Below are 21,335 nucleotides of genomic sequence, written 5' to 3'. Positions count from 1 at the left end.
CTAGCCACCCTGGTTTCCTTCCATTTCTTGAACACACAAAAAGCGTGTTCTACCTGAGGGTATTTATGCCCACTGTCCTCCCTCCTTAACAGGCTTCCCACCCACCTTTCCTTGGGTTGCTCCTATTCACCCCGTGGACCCAACAGAAATGTAATTTCCTTTCTCTCATCTTCTGTGTTGGTCTTGTTAATTTGGGCTCCCTATAGCAAGCCCTTTGTGTGTCTTCATGTCTTCATCAGAACACTTACCCCAGTTGTGATCCTGTAATCATTGTAATTTCTGTCCACTTTCTCCCCTGTCCACTACTTGGTAAGGGCTGAGTTCATCACCCTATCCCAGCACAAAGCACAAAGCCTGGCACATGATAGCTGTTGCTTATTGGAGAATGCATCTGTGAATGAATCTGGCTTCTGCTTCCATCCCTCCACTGGGACTGCTATTACTGAGTTCACCGGTGGCCTCCTCATTGATAAGTCCAGGGTTTCTTCTCTGGAATGTCTGACGTGTCTACAACATTTGAACCTGCTGTCAGCCTCTAGTTCGTTAAACGTTCTCCATCTTTTCTCATCTTTGGGTTTTGAGACAACATTATTTCCTTTGCTTCCTCTCTAAGCACTGCTTCTGAGCCTCCTTGGCTGACGTGTTCTGAGTGTCCCTTAAATGTTAGTGTCCTGCATGATTCCAGCCCTCAGTTTTTTTCTGCTCCCTCTGCACAGTCTGTGAGCAGCCTTCATTATGTCTGCAGCTTCAACCCTCATATATTTCAACTGGCGAATCCCACACCTACATGTCTAGCCCTGTCCCCACTCCTGCACACCAGATCTTTCTCTCACTGCATCCTAAATGCCTCCACTCCAATGTCCCATGGAAGCCTCAAGCTTAACATTTCCAAGTGGAACTAATTCTCTTCCTTGCCAAACTTGTCCTTCCTGTAGAATTTCCAATCTGGCTAAATAATGTCACCCATCTACCTAACCTCTGAAGCTAGATGTCATGGAGTCATCCTAGATACCTCTACCAGCTCAGTACCCATGTTCAGCTGTCATCACACTCTGTCTCTTGAATCTGTCCCTATCCCTCCTCTCTCTGCACTGCCACCGCCTTAGTGCAGCCCCTGCTGTACTTGTTGGGGTCATAGCATCAGCCTCTTACCTGGCCCCCCTCCTTCCATCTTCTTCCCCATCTAGTCTATTACTAGCACTCATGCCAGAGATCTTGTCACAGAGAACAAAGCCCAATCAAGCCACCTCCCTGCCTCACCCCATACCTTTCTCCCTCATGCCCATACAGTAAAGCCCACCCTCCTGATGGGCTTCTTCACAGCTTACTTGTCTTGCCCTCTGGCTTTTGCTTCTCTTTGCAGCATTCATGGTCCTCTGAGCATGCCATCCCTTCTCAGTACAGGCTTATAGTGTCAAGCAGGGTTCTCAAATATCAGAATCACAAGGAAGGCCTGCTGTGAAAACGTGGCATGCTGGGCCTCACCTGCGGAGGTTCTAACTCTGTGGGTCTGAGATGAGGCCCAAGATCTGAATTGGTAACAAGTTTCCAGGGGCTGCGGGGGCTTCTCTCCTGACGGCCACTGTGAGAACCACCAGTGTAGCCTATAAAGCATGTGAGCCTCGGAGCTCCACGGCCTGGGTCCAAGTCCTGCCTCTGCTACCCACTTCCTGTATCACTTAACCTCTCCATGCCTCAGTTTACTGATCCATAAAATGGGGCTAATCCTTGAACTACCTTACAGGCTTTGGAGGAGGATTAAATGGGTTAGTACCCAGAAAACTTTCAAACACTGCCTGGGTCATTGTGTCAGGAACTGTTAGTTGCCACCATTGTTGGTTGTTATTTTATTACTATTTACTTACTCAGTTGTGAATGTCTGCCTGCCTCTATTGCTTGCAGTTTTCTTGTCTCCCTTCAAGAATTCATTTCTTTTCTGAGGAGCATTTTGCTAACACTCTCCCAGCGCCAGGTCTCCCCGCACCCTTCTTTGTGCCCACACAGGCTTGCGTGCACCCTGTCCTAGGATTTGCCTCCCTGCACTCACCTCTTTTCCAGGAGTTGGGCTCACTTGCTCTATCTCCGCAGGGCTTCATTTTCTTCCAGCTTTATTGAGGTGTAACTGAAAGATAAAATTCTATAAATTTAAGGTGTACAACCTGATGATTTGATATATATGTGTATATTATGAAATGATAGCCCAATCAAGTTGGTTAACATAGAATTCAAAGAGAAAATTTTTTTTATAAAGTTAGTTAATACATTCATCACCCCACCTAGTTACCATTTTTGTGTATGTGGTAGGAGCATTTAAAATCTACCCTCTTAGCAAATTTCAAGTATACAATACAGTATTAAGTCATCATGCTGTACATTAGATCTCTAGAACTTACCCGCTTATCCACATTGTAACTGCAATTTTGTACCCTTGGACCAACATTTCCCCTCTCTCGCCACCTACAGCCCCTTGCAACCACCGTTCTGCCCTCTGTTTCTCTGAGTTCAATTGTTTTGGATTCCTCATATAAGTGACATCATAAATTTGCCTTTCTCTGTCTGGCTTACCTCACTTAGCATAATGCCCTCAAGGTTCGAGGTTCACCCCTGCTGTCGCAAATGGTAGGGTTTTCTTCTTTTTATGGATAAATTATATTCTATTATGTATATGCACACACACACACACACACACACATACACACACCTCACAGTTTCTTTATCCATTCGTCTGTTGATGGACACTTAGGTTGTTTCCATGTCTTGGTGATTGTGAATACTGCTGCTGTGAACACGGGAGTGCGGAGATGACTTTGAGCTACTGATCGTGTTTCCTTCGGACATATACCTAGAAGTGGGATTGTTGGATCATATGCTAGTTCTATTTTTAGTTTTTTGAGGAACTTCCATGCCATTTTCAGGGTTTAGTCCCTGACTTCAGTTTTGAGTCCCGGGAGCCCAGCAAAGTGTCTGGTACATCAGTGGGGGTAAAAAATGTTTCTTAATTAAATGATGGAATTGGCATATGTTGCAGAATTTATTGAAAATACAGGCCGGGTGGGGTGGCTCATACCTGTAATCCCAGCACTTTGGGAGGCTGAGGCGGGCAGATCACGAGGTCAGGAGATAGAGACCATCCTGGCTAACATGGTGAAACCCCGTCTCTACTAAAAATATTTTTTAAAAAAAATTAGCCGGGTGTGGTGGCGGGCGCCTGTAGTCCCAGCTACTCAGGAGGCTGAGGCAGGAGAATGGCGTGAACCCGAGAGGCAGAGCTTGCAGTGAGCCAAGATCATGCCACTGCACTCCAGCCTGGGCGACAGAGCGAGACTCCATCTCAAAAAAAAAAAAAAATAAGGCAAAATGTGTCCAGTCTAGGAAAAGGACTGAATACCAAGAAAAGGTGGAGAGAAAAGTGTGTGTGTGTGTGTGTGTGTGTGTGTGTGTGTGTGTGTCCTGAAAATTTGGGAATGTTGTGGTTAGGATAGTGGGATTGGATTCTAGAATGTGGTCTTGTGGTCTCAGGAACATCTCAGTGCACATCACCTCAGATAATCTTAGCTATGAGTAGCAAAAACCCACAACTCGATGGATTTAAACAAGGATATTTATCGCATGTGTAATAAGAAGTCTGGAGGAAGGGTGACATTGGTGTTGTCTGATCCAGTGGTCAACGATGTCATCAAGGGCCCGGATTCAGTCCTTCTGTTCTGCCTCAGGCTTCCTCCTCATGGTCACAAAGTGGCTGCAGAAGTTGCAGTCAACACATCAGATGGCACAGCATCCAGCAGAGGAAAAGAGCCAGGAAAACACTTCTCCGAGCACCCCTAGCAGGGCTCCTCTCACGTCTTAACAACCAGAGACGGAGTAGAGTCCACCCCAACCTACCCATTGGCAAGAAGCTTGCATTGTTTTGGCTGGATGAGGCCTCTGAGCTGGGGAGGAGGTCACTGTCCTGAGTGAACAGAAATGGAGTTCTGCTAGAAAGGAGGAAAGGATAAATGGATGCTGCTTCAGCAAGCCACAGTGTCTGCCTCAAAGCCCAACCCAGATAATCTAAAATGAATTGCTTGAAGTCAAAGTGAGGAACCCTTTCCTCTCTCTGTTCTACCCACAGGTCATGCCCTGACCACAGCTGCCCTTCAGGAGGCTGGCACGGAGCCACCTGGGGCCATTGGGCTGTTTGTCAAGGGTGGGGCAGCAGCAACTTGCCACTCTTCCTCCATGAGCCCAGCCAGAGCCTCCACTGGGCACTTAGCACAAGAAAAACCCTGCAGGAGCCGGATCCAGAGCGCTGGGATTCAGCAGGAGTGCCAGGAGAATTCAACACAGGTGTGCTGCCTCCTCTCCTGCCAGGTGTGTGGCTGCACAGGAGTCTTGCTGATGGTAAGAATCGGAGTTCCTGGATTCAGGGGGTACTGGGAGCAGCCGCCTGTGAGAAGGCTGGGCCAAACAAACAAATGTTCTGAATGAGGATAAGAAAACAGCATTTCTCCTGAGGGTCTCTGATTTTCTGTAGCCTGCCCCTGGCTTGAAAACTGTCAGCTTAGCAAAGTGGACTCTCAAACCACCTGGATCTCATGTTTTTTGCTTGTCAGATTCATTGATTGCTGCAGAATAGGCTCAACATCCCACAGGGTCTGCTTCTCTGACTGGGACAAAAGCGCTCATAAGAAACTGATGGGAGCGGCTTCACCAGGGGTGGCAGACAATTCTGGCCAGGAGTGGGTGTCCGCAGTGGGCAAGAAGTGTGGGCTCCATGCCAGGAGCAGTGGCGACAGCTTCTAGAAATTGTCTAGTAGCCTGACATCCTAAAGAATGTCCTGGAGAGCTGGAAAAGCGGTTCTTCCAGACACATGCAGGGAGCAGCGAAATGAGATGCAGTAGAAGGTTGAATCCAGCTGGGAGCACAGTGCAATTTAGTTAAGAGTGACTTCTGTGGCATCTGCTGGTCGTGGGTGAGGGCTGGGGGAAGATAATACTAATTTGGCCATTATTACACATGTCTTTCTTGAATCTTCAATCAGATTGTCAACTCCTTGAGGGTAGTAATGGAATATTTTATGTCTTTTGCATTCTTCACAAGGTCGGGTACTCAGCCATTGTTTATTGGTTGACTATTTGATGCATTCCGACACAATACACTTGACCGGGCCAGGTCCTGGGATCTTCATTCATAGGAGCAGTGTTGTCACCAGTATCTGTTGGGCACCTGCTGAGAAGGAGCAATGGCGGGTACTTTTGCCACCCGAGTTGGCCTGAGGTTGCTGAGTGTATGAGTTTCCTAGGGCTGCCTTAACAAAGTGCCACCAACTGGGTGATTAACAGAAATGTCAGGTCTCCCAGTTCTAGAGGCGAGAGGTCTGCAACCAAGGTATCAGCAGGGCCTGACCCCTCTGTGGTGTATAGGAGGCCCCTCCTTGCCTCGCCCTGGCTTCTGACGATTTGCCGGCCGACTGTGGTCTTCCTTGGCTTGCAGCTGCGTCACTCCAATCCCTGCCTTTATCATCACATGGCATTCTCCCTGTGTGTGTGTGTTTCCAAATTTTCCCATTTTTATAAGGACACCAGCCATATTAGGAACCGCCCTACTCCAGTATGACCTCATCTTAACTCATTACATCTTCAGCAACCCCGTTTCCAAAGAAGGTCACATTCTGAGGTACTAGGGGTTAGGACTTCAATGTGGAGATCACAGTTCAAGCTGCCACACTAAGTGAGCTCATTCACAGTGACAAGACTAGGGACATACAAAGGGCCGGGGTGAATATGAATGGTGTTCCATGGTGCTGCCTGAAAGTGACTGGCAGCAGTGTCAGCAGGGGAGCATGTCCTCTGTTCTCAGCATTCACTAGAGAGGTGTGCTGAGCTGGGGCCCAGCTGGACACATTGGATGCTGTGCTCCAGAGGAGGAACTGCACTCACCTATCGCTCTCCTTTGTATGGGACAAGTGGGACAGAGCCTTGATGGGGGGAACACACCACTGGGGTTCCAGGCAGCCTTAACTATCGAGGAATGGCAGGAAATTCTGTCTGCCCAGCACCTGGTGACCCTGGAGCTCCTCAGTTTCCCGGGAAGTTGAGTTTTGGAGCAGTCTCTTCCAGAGAGGCTGGGAGTGCATCACTTTCCCCCTGGAGGTGGCGGAGGCTGCTGGGCCCAACTAGCTCATTGCCAGGCAATCCAGAGAGAGTTCCAGACACCAGATACTGAACAACCTACTTGTCTCCACACCTAGTAAAGCTTGGATCCAATGCTGCCAACTTTTCTGCCTCTCCAGTTTTGGAGCCCTTAATGTGAAGGTGCAACCCAGAAGCCTGCAGGCTGTTCGTAGCCTGTAGATGTGTTTTCTTCCCAGTAGCTGGTGTATACAGTGTTTTTGTATTATTTTTCAAATAAGCAATACATTTGTGTGGTTCAAAAATTAAAGCGCTATAGAAAGGTATTCGGCGAAATCTTATCCCTGCCTCCATTGGCCAGTCCTGCCCTGCCCCTCCCTTGTAACCACTTTTATTAGTTTCCTATACAACCTTCCAGGATTTCTTTTTGCAGATAAAAGTCAGTACAAATATATATCTGCCTCATCCCTCTACTTCTTACATAATTATAACAGACTCTACACACTATTTTTAACCTTGCCTTTTTCACTCGATTTATCTTGGTGATCTTTCCCTCTCAGTATGTGGAGAGCTTCCTCATTCTTTTTTTACAGGGGCATAGTATCCCATTGTATGGATTTACCATAATTTAGCAATCCCCTACTGATGAACACAGGTTGTTTTTAGTCATTTGCTGTTAATATTACAAGAAACACTGCACGGAATAAACCTGCCATTTCATGTTGACCCTGAACGTGTGTAACATTTAAAAATTCTGAAAAATCTTTGAATAATCAACAGAACTGGAAACACTCAGTTCTAGTATGTGGACAACTGGTTGGGTTGGGTAGCAGCTGTCCTTTTAAAGAGACCTCCCTGCCCCGCTCTGGCATCTTCCCCACCACCTCTTGCTGACCCTCTTGCGTTCAGCCTGAGCGTTGACTGCCATCTAGCAACATTGTGCTGTTTCTCTCATAGAGTATTAAGGAGGAAGGGAAATCACTCATGTACTCATGTCTCTTCAAGGGGGAAACTGAAAACCAAGGAGGCTGTCTTTTTCCAGCAGAGGGAGGAGGGCAGACTTAATATGAAAGCGATTCTTCTTCATCGGCCCCTGCCCACTCGGCCCATTTCTGTTAATCTTCTGTATGCTTGAGATTGCAGCCCCTGCCTTGCCATGTCCAGGCTTTCATCTCGGGAGCTGAAAAGTGGAAGGGAAAGAACTCTGCTCTCTTCTTGCTTTTGTGCACTATCTGAGTAATTGCATGGAGACCAGCAATAAAAATGAAATACAAGACAGTCAGAAGTGTTGCTCCATTACATGGATTCTCTCAGCAGACCCCCCAAGGCAGTGGTAGCACTAGCTCACTTTTCCAGACAAGGAAACAGTAGCAGAGTGAAGTGGCTTCACCAAGACTCATAACTCGCACACAGAAGAACTAGGATCAGAACCCAGGTTTTTCTGTCACTAGAACCTGACATTTTAGCCAATCTATCATGCTGCTCCCAAAGTCTTTTTGTTTTTTCTTGAGACAGAGTCTCGCTCTGTCACCCAGGCTGGAATGCAGTGATGCAATCTTGGCTCACTGCAACCTCTGCCTCCCGGGTTCAGGTGATTCTTCTGCCTCAGCCTCCCAAGTAGCTGCGACTACAGGTGCACACCACCACATCCAGCTAACTTTTGTATTTTTAGTACAGATGGGGTTTCACTATATTGGCCAGGATGGTCTTGATCTCTTGACCTCATGACCTGCCTGCCTCGTCCTCCCAAAGTGCTGGAATTACATGCATGAGCCAGCTTACCCGGCCCCAAAGTCTTTTTAAATAAGGAGTGGTTTACAGTTAAGCCTCTCACCTTCTAAGTCTGTCATTACTGATGCTGTGGAGATGATAGTCGTGACAAAGATAAGAGCAGCTCTGAAAATGGGCCAGATGGCTACATACTGCAAAAAAGGTGGGTGACAATGCGTCTGTGGTCTCATAACTAACGTGACGGCTGTTCCTTGACAGCTTTTCCCATTTCATAGAGTGGAATTGGCTCCCCTGCCCTTTTGCTCTTTCAATCCAAGAACATGTATTGAGCACCTTCTGAATGCCAGGCACTGCGCTCGGTGTGAGTGACAAGCCTGGTGCCTGGAGGCTAGTTCAGGCAGGTCAACAGAAAGCTGCAGTGCCACCAGCTACATGTGGTATTGGTGACATGGATGCGTTGGGTTGTGTCCAGAATGTGACAAAAGAGACAAATACGCCATGGAGCAACCATGGACAACAAGGCGAGTGGCTTCCAGCTGTCTTGGGTCCTCGTCATTTTACACTACTTGATGAAGGAAGGAAGTGGGACCCAGAAGTGGTGGCTATGAGCTAAGGTATTGAGCCATCCTTCTGCCCGCAGCCCAGGATGAACATGACCACAACTGGCAGCTCTCTGGAGGCCACTCGGGGTTGAAAGGTGGGCCAAAGGAACCCTCCCTCCCTTTGCTGCTCCACCTCAGCTTTTCTCATTCCTGGCCATTTGTTTATCCTGTAAGCTGGGGGCTGGGGGTCTCCCAAAGTATCACTCATCCTGAGAGTTAGCATTCTTCCAGCGGGGCAAAATCCTCTTCCCTACTGAAGAAATTCTAAACCCAGCCAGCTGAAAGAGGAAGAGTGCAGGGGTGAGGGGAGGATGGGACCAAGAGGGCACATTCCACTTGATCTCTGAAGTCACACCTCAGCAACGGGACTTGCCCGCCAAGGCTTCTCGTCACCATGCTTTGTTGGATTTGTAATGTGCTGTTTATCTCTCTTCTCCCGCAAGTTTGCATGCAACAGCATCTGTCATCTCTGTGGTTATCTTAGAACAACTGGGGCTTTTGCTTTTTATTTATTCTTTCTCTGAGTGCAGTGCTAACCACAGCAGCCTACGGGCAGAGGGGTTGGGGAGGGAGTCAGTTGCTTTTCATTGAAGTGCTATGGTCTTCAGCTGCAGCTGGTGTGAGTGCTGAAACTGTGTGAAACAAAAGTGTTGAAACTCAGTCCCAAGTGACTTCTGGGGATCCGTTGCCTGTGTTTCCTATGGATGAGTAATTAGAAACGAGTGGTTTTCAGGTTGAAAAGGAGACTCCAGAGTCCTGATGGAATACAGACAGCAGGCACGTCTAGGGCCACAGACAGGTATGTGTGCTGCTCTGTGCTGGCAGCTGTGTGCAGATACAAAAGAAGTATCCCATACCCTCCTTGCCCTCAAGGAACTTAGTGACAGGAAGGAGAGCAAAATTTACAGTTGGCCTACCCTCTTGGGCCTGTTTCCTCATTACAGAAATGAATGAGGTTACACTTGATCAGTATTCCTTATTTTATTTTATTTTTTTTTTAGATTCAGGAGGTACACCTGCAAGTCTGTTACATGGAGATATTGCATAATGCCGAGGTTTGGGGTTCTAATTAACCCATCACCCAAATAACGAACATAGTATGCAATAGGTAGTTTTTCAGCCCTTGTTTGGCGAGTGTTTCTAATGGGGTCAGGCTGTCCCCTAGAGTAATGCCTCTCACACTTTCAAAGAAGTTAAGCCAAAAGCCCGGTATTTAGGAAATGGTTGTTTTAGGAAGAGAAGCCTAAATGGAATAAAGACAAAACCTCGAAATGACGAGATGATCTCCCTGCTTCATGCATTCTGTCTAGATCAGAGCATTTCCAAATATACACTGAACTGAAAAGGGCACAGTACAATATGCAGTGACCGCAAAGCAAGGAACCCATGCGCAGGTCTGTAACAGGAAATCTGAGACTTCATCCAGCCGATGTAGAATTAGATACTAGTTTAAATTAGCAGAGGCGCCTCAAACTTGTTTATAAAAGCTGTTTTAAAAATAATATTCTTATCACATATATTTATATTTGTAGTACAATGATAAGAAATCTCTTGCAAAAATTAGCTATCATGGTTACTTCTTTGGGGTTGCCTTTTGTTCTTCCTTCTTACTCTGATATTCTCCTTCAAGATTTACCCAACAACTTTTCCCAATCCATCCTCTTCTTCTCACCGCCCATACTATAAGGATGTCATTTTAAAAGCTTTTTTTTTTTTTTTTTTTTGAGACAGAGTCTCACTCTGTTGCCAGGCTGGAGTGCAGTGGTGCGATCTCAGGTCACTGCAACCTCTGCCTCCCGGGTTCAAGGAATTCTCCCACCTTAGCCTCCCGAGTAGCTGGGACTACAGGGTGTGCCACCACGCCCGGCTAATTTTTGTATTTTTAGTAGAGACGGGGTTTCACCATGTTGGCCAGGATGGTCTCAATCTCTTGACCTTGTGATCCACCCGCATTGGCCTCCCAAAGTGCTGGGATTGCAAGTGTGAGCCACCACGCCCAGCCACTTTTTTTTTTCTTTCTTTCTTTTCTTTCTTTTTTTTTTCTTTACTGCTAAAGACCGAATATATGCCTCAACACAGTGGGTGGGATTTCCAGACTGGAAACATGTTTTCTGTGACACTTTGTCACTATCCTGCCCCATATCACAGCGTAATAAATTATCATGACGCTACACTTATACGTAAGACTGAGCTCACGAGACAGGATCCTGTGCTTCCTTGTTTCCTCTGCTTGCACATTTGTAATTTGATTTGGCTTGTTATCTGTACCTCAGTGAAGGTTATTTCCTTCTTCCTGTTATCATATACGGCCAGGAAAGGGGGGTAACTCATTGTAACACTTCTTTATTCTATTGTCCTCCTATATCCCTCTGATCTTTTATTTCCTTGTACTTCTTATATGAAGTGGCTTCTATTTGTCTTCTGTTAAATCTAAACTTAACCATTATAGGTAGGTGGAAGTGTTGACTACTTCATTATGTGTTCCAGTGCAGGCATGCATGAGCACGTACATATTGACAGACATATTATTTTATTAAGAATCACATTTCTGTGCTCACTTTGGCAGCACGTATACTAAAATTGGAATGATACAAAGAAGATTAGCATGGCTCCTGCACAAGATGACATGCCAAGTGTGTGCTCGCTCTCTCTCTCTCTGTGTATATACGTATATATATAAAATATACATATAGTATGTATTTATATATATTAATCACATTTCCTTTTTATCCTTTTATTAAAATTAGGGCTACTTTATGCGTTTGGGTCGACCGACTTTTCTAGGAATTGTATTTCAGGTGGTAAAGATGGTGTTTCTAAATATTTGTTACAAAAATAGGGCATTGATTGGATAGGGTGGAGCACCACTGGGTTAAATGATCTCCAAGGTCTCTGACATTCTTTGTGCAACATTTACAAAACAATGGATGACAGCCTGATTCATGACTCAGTCAGAAAAAAAAAAATCCTGGAGGAGAAAGTGATCAGTGAAAGCTGGGATTCTTTACAATGTCTTCTTCAATGAAGTACTGTCCGGGAGATGTGGTGCTCCTTGCCCCTGCCCCACCATCCTGGCTGCGCTTGAGAAACTGGGGAATTGAAGAAAAGAAAATACTTATTTAATTTCCCATCCAGGATCATGTGAAAACAAATTTCTGGAGTGAGGCCCACGCATCTGGAGTGTTTAAAAATCTCCCCAGAGGATCTGATGTACTCTGAGGGTTGAGAATCAGTGCCTGCAGAGGGGCGAATGGTAAAAAGATAGGCCCATGTCCTAACTGCCAGAACTGGTGAATATGACCTTATTTGGAAAAAAGAGTCTTTGCAGATGTAATGAAGTGAGGGATCTTTAGATGAGATCATCCTGGGTTATCTGGGTGGGCCCTGAATTCAGTGGCAAGTGTCTTCATAAAGAGACACACAGAGGAGGGACATAGAGAGAAGAAGGCCAAATGAGGACAGAGGCAGAGCTGGAGTGATATAGCCTCAAGCCAAGGAACACCTGGAGGTACCAGAGCCGGAAGAAGCAAGGAGCAGATTCTCTGCAGGAGCCTTTAGAGGGGACACAGCGCCGCAGTCACCTTGATTTAGGACTTCTGGCCTCCAGAACTGTGAGAGAAGAAATCTGTTGTTTTAAGACACCTGGTTTTTGATAATTCATTGGCAACCCTTATAGATTAAAACCCTGCCTAACGGGTGGAGGAGATTTGGTGAGATGGAAGAGATGTGGGAGAGCCTTTCTCATATGGAAGCAAAGTGAGTGAAAGCAGGGAGGCCTGGCTGGAGGGAAAATGGGAGGCAGGACCACTATTATAGGACAGCGACTGTCCAGGGGGAGCGGGCACTGATTCTGTGGAGAACCAACCAGAGAATATTTCCTTTTTCTAGGAAAGATGAATTCCTCTCCATTCTTCTTCTCCATTCTCTCCTGTCCTATTTTGGAAAATAGTGCTTGCTGCGCCTCCTTAGACCAAAAGAGCCCAAGCAGCCCAGGAAGCGAGTTCACACTCCATTCCATAGCAGTGGGAACCAGTGAAGGGTGAGGTCGGATGTCTGAACACTTAGTGTTCTGTTGTCCATCAATGTAAGGGTCACTCCCTCCAGGGTGCACTCCACCCCTCCCCAACACCAGCAGTTCCACTTTACGATGGTGGCTTTATGAATCCCAGCAAAGCTATTTGTTTTGCAGCCCCAGACGGTCTGGGTGATATTGCTGACATCATTGGATGGCCCTGCCAATGTCTTAGAAGTCAGTCCTACCTGCAGATATCTAAACTAAGTCACATCACTTCTGACAAGCTTCTCCTAAGGGACCATTTTCTCCTATGCTTAGACCACCAAGCTGGAATGAGAGCAGCCAGCCTCAGAGCACACACAATGCCAGCTGTGCTTAGTTAATAACCAGCCAGCTATCTTGGGGAGGCGTCTCGCGGGGCACTGCATGATGAAGCGCAGATCCATGCCCTACTTTCTGCAAACTTAAGCAAGTGAAACTTTCATTAACAATGCCCATGAAAGCAGAGTCCTCGCTGACTTCTCTGGCTGGCTCAGCAGGAGCCTAGAGGGTGTGAGAGGGCTTGTGCAAGAACACACCAATCTCATTTCTGGATCTTGTGCGTGCATTTCCCAGGTGTTGTTTTGAACAGTGAACTCAGAAAGGGCCAATACTCTGGGAGCAGAGAGCTCACCCTGAGTATAATACGGCCTTAAGGGTAGAGAAAAGCAATTAAACGCCGCCTGACAAGAAGAATCTAGGGACTGTGATGCACTGAGCACTAGGGCCGGGTGCTGGGGGCCTGGATTGGAAGGAGACAGGAGGAAACAGATGGGAACAACTGATGCATGATTATTCTTAGTCTTTGATTGCCAGCTCTATTGGGGATTTGACGTTACCCATTGTCCTAGAAACGAAGGAAGGGCATAGGAGTGCCTTCATTTCATTTTCTGGAAATAAACATCTTTAAAGGAAGGAGATCTCTTCCTTCTATGGACACCGTCATATGACTGACACTGTAATGTCAGTGGCTACTGATTTAATGTTGAGAGAGAGACTGCAGAATGGTAAGCACAGGCCAAAATGCAGCTGTTGGCTCCAAGGAGCAGCTTTGGGATCCCCTGGATAAGAGGCCCTGGTGGAGGTCATTCCAGGCATCCTCCTGCCTACAAGAACCCCAGCATCCTTGCCTACTATGGGCTTGAGAGAGAAAGGCCTGGCCTCTTAACGTGAGATGTGGGGCTGAGGTTAGGGAGCAGGATGGAGGACCATGGCTGGAGTTGCTAAGTCTCACTGGGGCACTGAGCTGCCCCTAGGGACACCTAGGGGCATCCCTAGGCATCTCTCTGTGCCACTGAGTCAGAGACGTGTGAAAACGTTTCCAGTTGAGCAGTAGGGTATTTTGAATGCAAACACACACAGTTTCCAAACCCCCCACCACTGACCTCCTCTTATTTATTAGAAAATCCAAAAGAGTTTTCCAGGGTTGGCTGGAAGGGTGGATAAATCTGACACTAACTGGCCACCTGAACCATGGAGAGAAACAGTGTCCTCCAGAGAGCAAGCACCATTAGAGAAGCCCTATCATGGTGAGAAGGCCTAAGGCTGGTTGCGGTCCACACATAGCTCCAACCCAGAGAAAGGGAGCAGCCATGTGTCTGTGCTGCAGACATGGCATGCTACTCCATGCTCAGCACTCTAGTCAAGGCTGCAAGTATTACTGGGAACAAGACAGATAGTCCCCGGGCTCAAGGAGCTCGCAGTCCAGCAGGAGTAATAGATGTTCACTAGTTACACCAGGAATTGTTTAGTTACAATGGTCATAAATGCTAAGGAGGAGTACAAAGTTCCTGAGAACATACAGTTTTGGATGTAGTCTGAAGGATCTTAAAGATCATCTTGTCCAGCCCAATCAATCCACAGATAAGGAAACTGAGGCTCAGAGAGGGTAAGGAAATAGATGAAGAGTACCTATTTAGTCAGTGACTGAGATGGGATGAGAAAGCATTTCTGATTCCCAATTCTGTTTTTGTTTAGGCTAGGGAAATTGATTTACATTTGTAGTCAGAGCCAGTTGTATCAACATTTTCATGAAAGTGTCTGGGTCTAGGAATTTCATGAAAAAGCCAGTGGATGAGAGAGTGGAGGGGGACTATTCACAGCATGGTTAGGGGCTGTTTGCACAAATCCTACTTCTGGTAGCTATTCTAATAAGGCAAGGATGAGTCCCTGTTGGTACTGTGTGTCCTGTGCTGACATCAGAAATGATAAATGTGCCTGATGCAGGAGCCACGGAGTTCATCACCCCTCAGCTGTAAGTGCTACCTCCATACGGCCTCCCAGATGCCAGCCTCGCTCCACACTTCGTTCTCGAGTGGCTGTGCCATTCCAGGTCCCCACGGCCTCTCATGGGTCTAGTCTCCTTACTTCTTTCTGTTTGACTTTAGCACCCACACTGTCTTCAGACTGTATGACCTTAGGTGGGTTACCTAAACTTTCTGAACCTCATGTGTAAATGAATGTGGACAATGAGGGTTATAGGTAGGGTCAATTAAGACAATTAAGGCTCCCAGCATAGTGCCTGGTATATATTCCATATGAACTCCCTAAAATATGTCAGGTCCTGGAACCCTTGATGACTCCTTATAACCTGCAAAATAAGGAATAACCCTGTTAGAATCCAACACATCCAAGAAGATTTTGTTGACTCCTGTTATGTGCTAGTCATTGTGCTGGGTAGTATGGTTACAGAATGAATAAGCCATGATCCCTGACTTCAGGGAGCTAAAAATGTATGGGGGTAGACATGTACACAAGTCTAATCCAGTGTGATGGGTGATGCATCAGCAACAATCACAAAAGGCCATTGAAACACTGACAGTGAGCAACTGAGTCAATTTGGCATGACATTCAAGGCTTTCTAGCCCTCCTGTCCTATCTCTTACTCTGTCCTTGTGCCAGTGCACCCTGTTCCCTACTCACATTTTTCCAAACACGTGCTGGACGTCTTCCATCTCCCTTCCCCTCCCCACAGCCCTGGGGGTTAACATAAACACAGAGAATATAGGAAATACTAAAGAACATCATAAAAATCACCCATAAACCCAATAAACAAGATAACCACCATTGATATTGTGGTACATTTCCTTCTAGTCTTTTTTCAGTGTACATGTCTTTTCTTATTGCCCTTTTCTCATTCTGCCTTACATTTTAGTTTTTCACATGCATTTATCTCCACTAGACTATAAGCTATTTGAGGAGAAGAATAACGTTTCACTCACTTTTTTTTTTTTTTTTTGAGACATGATTGAGACTCTGTTGCCCAGACTGGAGTACAGTGGTGTGATCATGGCTCACTTACTGCAACCTCAAACTCCTAGGTTCAAGAGAGCCTCCCAAGTAGCTAGGACTACAGGCATGTACCACTGCACTTGGCTAGTTTTTTCTTTTGCTCTCTCTCTCTTTTTCTTTCTTTCCTTCTTTCTTTCTTTTCTTTCTTTCTTTTTTTTTTTTGTAGAGACGGGGTCTTGCTATGTTGCCCAGGCTGGTCTCAAATTCCTGGGCTCAAGCGACCCTCTTGCCTCAGCCTCCCAAAGTGCTGGGATTACAGGTGTGAGTCATCATGGCTGGCCTCACTTGCTTTTTACCCCGTTCCTAACACAGCATCTTTTACTAGGAGTCACTCTGTAAATGTTAGCTGAATAGAGCCGCTAGGTGAATTTGTTTGGCTTTGGAATTCTGCATGTAATCATTGTTGAGAAAGCAGCTTTGCTGTGCTGGTGCGTGCTGCTTATTTAAAACTCAGGCATTCTCATGAGCACTAGAAAGTGCTGGCCAGTCAACCACTCTGCTGAGTGGGTGAGGGAAGAGACTAAAAATCCATAATAATTCAACAAGTGGCTGAGCCACAGGCGGGTAATAAAGTGAGTTCTGCATCCTGCATGGGGTTGTGTTGGAAAGCAGCTCTGCCCACCATGATTCGACTTTGTCTTGCTTTAGAATGACACAGTTGATACTGGCAAATCTTTCTTTATCCCTTCTGATCAAAAATAATGTTGGCGTTTCACCTGGGTGGGAGTGGGTGAGATTTTCTTCTCTAAGAAGTCAGTTTTGGCTCTAAAATACTCTGGTTAGATTAAAATGTAAGAGGCTCTTGAGCGAGGATTGGAAGTGGGAATAACACAGGCTCTCTTCCAAAAAGCTCGGGGTAGGGAGGCTGGGACCAGGTCAGGAGGAGAATTCACTCAGCACGCCACAGGTCAATGCAAAGCAGAGCACACGAGAGAGAATGTTGTGAGGGATTAACACAGTAGAAAACGTTAGAGCATCAGGATCCCGTCGAGACCTGTGGCAGGCACAAGAGCCTGGCGGTGTATTAAGTACCCTCCATTTTTATTTGTTTCTTTTTTTCTTTTGCTTTCTTTCTTTCTTTCTTTCTTTCTTTCTTTCTTTCTTTCTTTCTTTCTTCCTCTCTCTCACTCCGTCCCTCCCCCCCTCCCCCTTCCTTCGTTTCTCTCTCTCTTTCTTTCCTTTTTCTTTCTTTCTTTCTTTTCTTTCTGTCTCTCTTTCTTTCCTTCTTTCTTTCTTTTTCTTTCTTTCTTTCTCTCTCTCTTTCTTTCTTTCCTTCCCTCTTTCTTTCTTTCTTTCTTTCTTTCTTTTTCTTTCTTCTTCTCTCTCCCTCCCTCCCTCCCCCTCCCTCCCGCCCTCCCTTCCTTTCTCTCTCTCTCTTTCTTTCTTTCTTTTCTTTTTCTTTCTTTCTTTCTTGAGATAGAGTTTCGCTATTCTTGCCTAGACTGCATTGCAATGGCACGATCTCAGCTCACTGCAACTTCTGCCTCCTGGGTTCAAGCGATTCTCCTGCCTCAGCTTCTTCAGTAACTGGGATTACAGGCGCCCGCCACCACGCCCAGCTAATTTTTTGTGTTTTTAGTAGAGATGGGGTTTCACCATGTTGGCCAGGCTGGTCTTGAACTCCTGACCTCAGTTGACCCACCTGCCTCAGCCTCCCAAAGTGCTGGGATTATAGGCGTGAGCCACTGTACCTGGCCACCTTCCATTTTTATAAAAAATGTAGGAAATTCATTGGTGTGGATGGCAGCAGGACAATGAAAGCAGATATAAGAGAGATAAGTCCATTCACAATCTGAGATTTTTATTTGGATATGGCAGGATTTTTGTTATTTAGATGTCTTTTTTCTTGAAAGAATATGGTATAGCAGAGGCTGTTTCTAGTATTAAATATCTCAGAGGGAATTTCATTACCAGATCAAGGAAAGAGTCTGCACGGTTTTGGCTTCTGATGAAAAGCATCTAAAACCAAGTTAAATCAAAGAGAACCCTTAAACAAATCATTGATTTGGGTGATGCAAAGAAACCTCAGTCAGAGAGCCTCTTTTGGAGCATGAAAGGAGGGGAACTATGCAGGGCTCAGCCTTTGAGACTACATTCCGGGATAGGATTTCCTATCTCTGCACACCATTAGAAAGAAATGAAATGGACAGGATCTGGTGATTTACCTACTATGGAGGAGGACAAGAGGAGCCCGAGGCCCAAGGAGGCCAAGTGACTTTCCTGAGGTTAGGACATCAGCGGTGACATGGGGGAATATGCTTTTTTTAAAAAAAATCCCAAGTCTGGTTTTCTTTCTGCACCTCTACATTGCCTGTGGGAGGTAAGGGATTCAGTAGAAAGAGCATGGGTTTGAGATGTGCTTGGTTGGAATCCAGCCTCCATTTCCTCATCTGCACATAACCGAGGCTGTGTTAATCATAACATCTGCTGTGTTAACTCCCCCAAAACATTCTCTCTTGGGTGCTCTACTTTGCTTTAACCTGTGGCCTCCTGAGCAAATTCCCCTCCTGACCTGGTCCCAGTCTCCCCACCCTGAAGTTTTTGGAAAGGAGCCTGTGTTATTCCTACTTTCAACCCTAACTCAAGGAGTCCAGGAGTTGTTCCTGTCTGCTCAAGTAGGACCTCCAGCTTCTTGTAAACTCTCCTCCAGCCTCACACACTCACTGGCTCACTCATCCATTCAGGTGCTTTTCTGGATGCCAGGGATACAGCTGTGAACCAAAGAGACACCTGCCTTCATGGAGCTTACACTCCAGACCAGCGCTGCACATCAGAAATGCAACATGAGCCACTTGTATAATTTTCCATTTTGGCCACATTGTTTTAAAAAAGTAAAAGAAACAGATGAAATTCATTGTAATAACATTTTGTTTAACCTAATACATGCAACATATAATCATTTCAGCATGCAGTCACTCTAAAAATTATTAACGAGATCTTTTACATTCCTTTCTTTTGAACTCAGTCTTTGAAATCTCTTTTGCTCTTACATCTCACTTTAGACTGTCCACAGTTCAAGTGCTCACCTTCATATGTGGCTTGTGGCTACTGTATTGGACAGTACAGGTCTATGGCTTGGGATCAAGACTCTGCCATCCCCCCAAGGCATGGAAACTGGGAGAAGAGCATCCCTGCAAGCCCGGCTGCTTGAGAGAGAATGCTGCCTGCTCCACAAAGGTGTCTTCACCCAGGGCCCTCGGTTCCACCCACTGGAGCATGCTGAGCTCATGCAAAAAGAGGAAGGATGCCCACGCCCCTGGGTCCTGACCTAGTCTGTGGGTTCAGGCGAGGGAACAACACTGTACTATCTTCCCTATGATGATAATAGTAATAATATAATTAGCACTTAAAGCACTAAGTATGGGTCATACCCTGTGCTAAGCACTTTCTGTGTGCTGTGTATCTTATCATCTTCACAAAAACTTTATGAGAGGTGCTGTTATCATCCATGTTTAACACAGGAGAAATTGGCTCAGAGAAGATAAATAACTTCCTGAGGATCACAGGTAGGAAGTGGCAGAGCTGGGACTTGAACCCAGGGCTGTCTAAAACCAAAGCCTAGTGTTCTTAAGACAGAGTGAGATCCATCTAGGGTCACATGGGAACTGAGCACAGGATCCTGAGCCTCATCTAAGGCTCTCTTCATCCATTCAAAGGCCACACCACCGAGTTGGAATGCTTTGGAGATGAAGGTGTCATTGAAGATGACTAAGTGTCACATGGAGGAGTATATGGGAGACATCTGGCATCCCCAGGCCCAGCCCTCCACAGCTGTCAACCAGGATCCATAACTGCTGGCATGTTCTTATTACAAATAAGATAGCGTAATCTTTGAAAGCCGTATAATAATGTAGGTGTATTACAAATAAGATAGTGACTCATAAATGAGAGGCATAAATGACAAAATCCTTTGTGTACTCTGAAGCACCATATAAAAGTGTGCTCTCATCATTTTATGGTTATTGCTGTTGTTATCGTTCAGTCGGTGGTGTGTCCAGGGAGCTTACCCTAGCCCGGATCGCAGTGGTAGGCCTGCAATATCAAGTGGCAGCTGAGAACATAACCTGACTTGAATGTTTTGTGGCCACTGGGTCCCAGCACTTGGAAGTATTTGAGTTGTGCGTATGGATATATGCAAGCATTTGCCGGCTTGCCCAGTGCTGAAATCAGTCTTCATGTTCAGCTTTGGTGGCCAGCAGCACTCCTGGCTCTTCAGAGCATTGTTAGAGAGACACTTAGAAACCAGCAGACATGATGGAGGGGGTACAGCCTCACTCTGAAGTCCCAGGATAGGCTAGAGGCCAGGAAGCCAGCCTCTAGCATCTGGAAGAGAAGGCCCATCGACTGCTGCGGGTTTCCTGGGCATTTCTCGTGACCTTGCTAAATGGGATTATCCTGAAGAGCATCCAAACCCTATTCACTCTCTAAGCCCAGTTTAAATCCCACTCGCTCCACAGAAGCCTTTCCTGACATGTCAGCTCCTGTCCTCTCCCCATCTAAAGTCCTGTGGTATCGAATGCCTGTGCCATCCACTTAGACACTGAAGTGTCCTGGCTTGTACAAAGCGTCTTCCAAAAGTTCATGGAAAATGCATATTATTAAAAAAAATACAAGAATTTCAAAATTGTTTTAGCACCAAAATAAACTCATACTAACTTGGTATAACATCTGAACAGGATCTAGTTTGAGTCACTAAGAAGGAAAAGACATCAGTTTGAAAAGAGCCCCTATCAAAGCAACACAAATTCTGCTAAAATTGAAGCAAAAACAAACAACAAATTTGTAGAGAAGCTTGGGCAGGAGAATTGTGAAATTATTGATGCTTTACAAGAAGTTCATGGGGACAATGCCCCCCAAAAATCAGCATTTACAAATGGACAGCTCATTTTAAGAAGGGATGAGATGGTATTGAAGATGAAGCCCATAGCAGCAGACCATCCACATCAATTTGCAAGGAAAAGATACATCTTGTTTGTGCCCTAACTAAAAAGGACCAGTGTTTAACAGAACTAACGATGGCCAACACCATAGACATCTCAACTGGTTTAGCTTACATAATATTGACTGAAACATTAAAACTGAGCAAACTTTCCACTCAGTGTTTGACAAAACCCTTGTGCCCAGATCAGCTGCAGACAAGAGCAGAGCTTTCAATGGAACTTTCAAACAAGTGGGATCAAGACCCTGAAGGACTTCTTTGAAGAACTGTAACAGGGGATGAAACAGGGCTTTTTCAGTATGATCCTGAAAACAAAGCACAATCAAACCAAGAGGTGGAAGTGGCCCAGTTAAAGCAAATGTGGACCAGTCAAGAGCAGAGGTCATGGCAATGGTCTTTTGGAATGCTCAAGGCATTTTGCTTGTTGACTTTCTGAAGAGCCAAAGAACAATAACATCTGCTTATTATGAGAGCATTTATTATGAGAAAGCCAAAGCATTAGAAGAAAAACACCTAAAAAGAAAAAAAAAAAAAGCCTGGGAGAGTGTCACCAGAGAGTCCTCCACCAGGATGATGCTCCCGCTCCTTCTTCTCTTCAGACAAGGGC

At 45.8% G+C, this 21,335-nt stretch overlaps 1 protein-coding gene and 1 pseudogene across 11 annotated transcripts in view, besides 2 other annotated features; both read left to right on the top strand.

The window, feature by feature from the left end:
• Positions 1-21,335, top strand: part of CRACR2A (calcium release activated channel regulator 2A) — a 137,782-nt gene that overhangs the window by 15,788 nt on the left and 100,659 nt on the right. For 8 of the 11 annotated variants that reach the window (NM_001144958.2, XM_006719021.4, XM_047429739.1 and 5 more), the window contains exon 2: positions 4,112-4,380. The exons of 2 other annotated variants lie outside the window; for them this stretch is intronic. The gene's annotated coding sequence lies outside the window, so the exon portion shown is untranslated. Of the gene's footprint in view, positions 1-4,111; positions 4,381-8,210; positions 8,540-21,335 lie in introns of those variants that run through there. One more of the 11 variants, XM_047429736.1, reaches the window with a different exon arrangement.
• Positions 3,458-4,086: an enhancer, noted in NCBI's record as "H3K27ac-H3K4me1 hESC enhancer chr12:3842402-3843030 (GRCh37/hg19 assembly coordinates)". NCBI's record gives its function as "activates a minimal SCP1, AML or CMV promoter by ChIP-STARR-seq in naive H9 embryonic stem cells {active_cell/tissue: H9 hESC(naive)}" and the evidence as "EXISTENCE:reporter gene assay evidence [ECO:0000049][PMID:30033119]".
• Positions 8,386-8,485: a silencer, noted in NCBI's record as "silent region_4141". NCBI's record gives its function as "represses an Ori minimal core promoter by ATAC-STARR-seq in GM12878 lymphoblastoid cells {active_cell/tissue: GM12878}" and the evidence as "EXISTENCE:reporter gene assay evidence [ECO:0000049][PMID:35858748]".
• Positions 10,995-11,100, top strand: RNU6-174P (RNA, U6 small nuclear 174, pseudogene; annotated as a pseudogene).

Source organism: Homo sapiens, chromosome 12 (genome assembly GCF_000001405.40).
Source record: "Homo sapiens chromosome 12, GRCh38.p14 Primary Assembly".
Taxonomy (NCBI): domain Eukaryota; kingdom Metazoa; phylum Chordata; class Mammalia; order Primates; family Hominidae; genus Homo; species Homo sapiens.
This window is presented reverse-complemented; position numbering and strand designations above follow the sequence as displayed.